Genomic DNA, 4382 nt, shown 5'->3' with positions numbered 1-4382 from the left:
AGGCTGGTCTCGAACTTGTAACCTTGTGATCCACCTGCCTCAGCCTCCCAAAGTGCTGGGATGACAGACGTGAACCACCGCACCCAGCCTACAATACTCCTTATTTTACTTTAATCAAGACTAAGAGCTTTAACTATGAAAATGTTAATTAGCCAAATGTCTTCAATTCTCTATCAGGCTTGTTTGTTTGTTTGAGATGGAGTCTCCCTCTGTCACCCAGGCTGGAGTGCAGTGGTGCCATCTTGGCTCACTGCAACCTCTGCCTCCTGGGTTCAAGTGATTCTCCTGCCTCAGCCTCCCGAGTAGCTGGGATTACAGCTGTACACCACCACGCCCAGCTAATTTTTGTATTTTTAGTAGAGATGAGGTTTCACTATGTTGGCCAGGCTGGTCTCAAACTCCTGACCTCGTGATCAGCTCTCCTCCGCCTCCCAAAGTGCTGGGATTACAGGTGTGAGCCACCACACCTCACCCATTATATCATTCTTATGCCTTTGCATCCTCATGTAACCGGTGGAGGGTGTCCAGGTTCTTGGCATCTTGAACAAAGAATTGGACAAAACACACAAACAAAGCAAGGAAAGAATGAAGCAACAAAATGAGAGACTTATTGAAAATGAAAGTACACTCCACAGGGTGGGAGCGGGGCCGGACACAGGGGCTCAAGAGCCCTGTTACATAATTTTCTGGGGTTTAAATACCCTCTAGAGGTTTCCATTGGTTATTTGGTGTAGTCCCTATGTAAATGAAGAGGATGAAATAAAGTTACAAAGTTATTTACTTGATGTACACCCTATGTAAATGAAGAGGATATTTCCTGTCATAGCTGAAGTGTTTCCATTTGATTTAGTTCTAGGAAGTCCTTAGGTTCCCTGCCCCCAGACCCTATTATCCTGCCTCACTCATAACTTAGCTTCAGGATTGGGTGATCTTTACGATAAATTTTTTTTTTTTTTTTTTTTTTTTTGAGATGGAGTTTTGCTCTTGTTGCCCAGGCTGGAATGCAATGGCATGATCTCAGCTCATCGCAACCTACACCTCCCAGGTTCAAGCGATTCTCCTGCCTCAGCCTCCCGAGTAGCTGGGATTACAAGCATGCGCCACCATGCCCACCTAATTTTGTATTTTTAGTAGAGACGGGTTTCTCTGTGTTGGTCAGGCTGGTCTTGAACTCCTGACCTCAGGTGATTCGTTTGCCTTGGCCTCCCAAAGTGCTGGGATTACAGGCGTGAGCCACTGTGCCCAGCCTTCACTTCTTAATTTTAAAGTATATTTTTAATTTTCTCAGGAATACTCATTCTCCTGTTTCCTATAGTCAAGTGCTAGCTGTCCTTCAAATGCTATTCATTCATTCATTCATGCAGCCAGTGAATCAACCATTTCCTGAGCAGGTCCCATGCCCTGGCACTGGGAACTCTCTGGAAAACAAGAATTCCTAGCCCAGAGTGAGAAACAGAAGTGGCCATCCAGAGGAACCCTGTGCCAGCATGGGAGGGGATGATGAGTGCCTTCTCAAACGCACCCTTTCCCCCCTATTGTAATTTTCCTTCTACAATGAACTCCCAGTGCCTCTGTCTCTCTCTTTCTTTTTTTGGAGACAAAGTCTCACTCTGTTGCCCAAGTTGGAGTGCAGTGGCGTGATCTCGGCCCACTGCAACCTCTACCTCCCAGGTTCAAGTAATTCTCATGCCTCAGCCTCCAGAGTAGCTGGGATTACAGACAGGGATGCACCACCAGGCCCAACTAATTTTTGTATTTTTAGCAGAGATGGGGTTTCATCATGTTGGCAAGGCTGGTCTCGAACTCCTGAGCTCCGGTGATCCGCCCGCCTCAGCCTCCCAAAGTGCTGGGATTACAGGTGTAAGCCACTGCGTCTGGAATCTTTCTTTCTTTTAATACCGGGGTGTTCCTGAGTTTATTTGGGGCACACACCGGGCGAGGGCCCTGTACCTAGAAGAAGGTGTTGGGTCTCCGGGTGGTGAAGTGTGGCTTGTGCTGACAGCGCAGGACCCGGTGGGGTAGCGGAAACTTGATCTTGGAGTCGTGGAACTGCTTGACGGCCGGCCGCGGGCACTTGCTGGCTGCGATCGCCTCCACCTTCGTGATCTGGATGGAATGGGTCCAGGCGCGGTGCCGGGCGCCCATGTCTCGGTAGCACTGGGTGACAGCGCCCGCGGTGTTCAGGTCCCAGTATTCTCAGTACATGTTGTGGATGCCGCTCCGGGAGTCATAGTGCAGCCAGATGCCGAAGTTCTTCACCCCCAGGGGAACTTCTCAAACACCGGCCCACAGTAGACAATCTCCCCTGAAAACTTCTTCATCTTCTTTAACTGAGATACGAAGTACCAGAAGCGGGACTCGGCGACGACATGATTAGGCGCAAAGATTCCCATGCGGTAGAGGGGCGGTGTGTGGCATTTGGGGGTGGGCAGGCAGCGACCCACCACCTTGTACTCTCATAGTGTGCCCAAGGCCTTCGTGGCGTCCTCTCGGCGCTGGTTGCCACCCGCAAAAGGACTCTTTCTCTTTTTTTTTAAGTCAGGGTCACACTTTATTGCCCAGGCTGGAGTGCAGTTGGACGATCCTAGCTCACTGCAGCCTCAACCTCCCAGGTGCAAGTGATCCTCAGCTCCCCTACTCCCAGGGGTCTCACTATGTTGCCCAGGCTGATCTCCAACTCCTGGGCTCAAGGGATCCTCCTACCTCGGCCTCCCAAATTCCTGGGATTACAGGCGTGAGTCACCCTGCCTGGCCAGGTCTCACTTTTCCATTAGTTTCCTGTGTTTCTAGGAAATTGACATCCAGGTCCCCAACCTCCATTGGTTTTCTTTCCTATGATCCATCTTCAGGAGAATTGGCACTGACATCCAGGTGCTGCTTCTTTCCCACCTCCCTCCTCACACTTTGCAAAGGAATTTTACCCTACAGCATTGGGGGTTGGGGGCTGGAGAGGGAATGGAAACCTCCAGGGGCACCAATCAAAGGTGAAGGGCTCTATCTACCAAATAACAAGGAGCTTTGCATACCTGGCAGTTGCCAGATCTTTGCTTTCAACAAATGCAAAGGAAGTTCTAATTCTGCTGTCATTAAAAATAACTTTGGGTGATAGGTCACTGTGTCATTTTTGGCTTGTAACCCAGAAGGAATTCAAATAATTAAGTGACATTACTATGGTCAGGCGCGGTGGTCACGCCTATAATCCCAGTATTTTGGGAGGCCGAGCGGGTGGATCGCTTGAGGTCAGGAGTTCGAGACCAGCCTGGCCAACATGGTGAAAACTAGTCTCTACTAAAAATACGAAAAACATAGCCAGACATAGTGCCACACAACTGTAAACTAGCTACTCAGGAGGCTGAGGTGGGAGGATTGCTTGAACCCAGGAGGCAGAGGTTGCAGTGAGCTGAGATCATGACCCTACACTCCAGCCTGGGTGACAGAGGAAGACTCCATCTCAAAAAAAAAAAAAAAAAAAGCCAGACATGGTGGCTCCCACCTGTAATCCCAGCACTTTGGGAGGCCGAGGTGAATGAATCACTTGAGGTCAGGAGTTCGAGACCAGCCTGGTCAACATGGTGAAACCCTGTCTCTACTAAAATACAAAATTAGCTGGGCATGGTGGCACCTGTAGTCCCAGCTACTCGGGAGGTTGAGGAATGAGAATTGCTTGAACCTAGGAGGTGGAGGTTGCAGTGAGCCAAGATTGTGTCACCACACTCCAGCCTGGGTGACAGACATTATTGTAACAAAATTCCCTCCATTCTTTTTTCTTTTTAAAGACAGGGTCTTGGCCAGGCTCGGTGGCTCACGCCTGTAATCCCAGCACTTTGGGAGGCCAAGGCGGGTGGATCACGAGGTCAGGAGTTCAAGACCAGCCTGGCCAACATGGTGAAACCCCCATCTCTACTAAAAATACAAAAATTAGCCAGGTGTGGTGGCAGGTGCCTGTAATCCCAGCTACTCAGGAGGCTGAGGCAGAGAACTGCTTGAACCCGGGAGGCAGAGGTTGCAGTGAGCCAAGATCACACCACTGCCCTCCAGTGTGGGTGACAGAGCAAGACTTTTTTTTTTTTCTTAAAAAAAAAAAAAAAAAAAAGGCCGGGCACGGCGGCTCACGCCTGTAATCCCAGCATTTTGGGAGGCCAAGGTGGGCAGATCACGAGGTCAGGAGATCGAGACCATCCTGGCTAACACGGTGAAACCCTGTCTCTACTAAAAACACACAAAAAAATTAGCCGGGCATGGTGGTGGGCGCCTGTAGTCCCAGCTACTCCGGAGGCTGAGGCAGGAGAATAGCGTGAACCCGGGAGGCAGAGCTTGCAGTGAGCTGAGATCACACCACTGCACTCCTGCCTGGGCGGCGACAGAGCGAGACTCCGTCTCAA

At 50.1% G+C, this 4382-nt stretch overlaps 1 pseudogene; it reads right to left on the bottom strand.

Annotated features, from left to right (window-relative positions):
• Positions 1898–2517, bottom strand: RPL18AP5 (ribosomal protein L18a pseudogene 5; annotated as a pseudogene).

This window comes from Homo sapiens, chromosome 1 (genome assembly GCF_000001405.40).
Source record: "Homo sapiens chromosome 1, GRCh38.p14 Primary Assembly".
NCBI classification, from domain to species: domain Eukaryota; kingdom Metazoa; phylum Chordata; class Mammalia; order Primates; family Hominidae; genus Homo; species Homo sapiens.
This window is presented reverse-complemented; position numbering and strand designations above follow the sequence as displayed.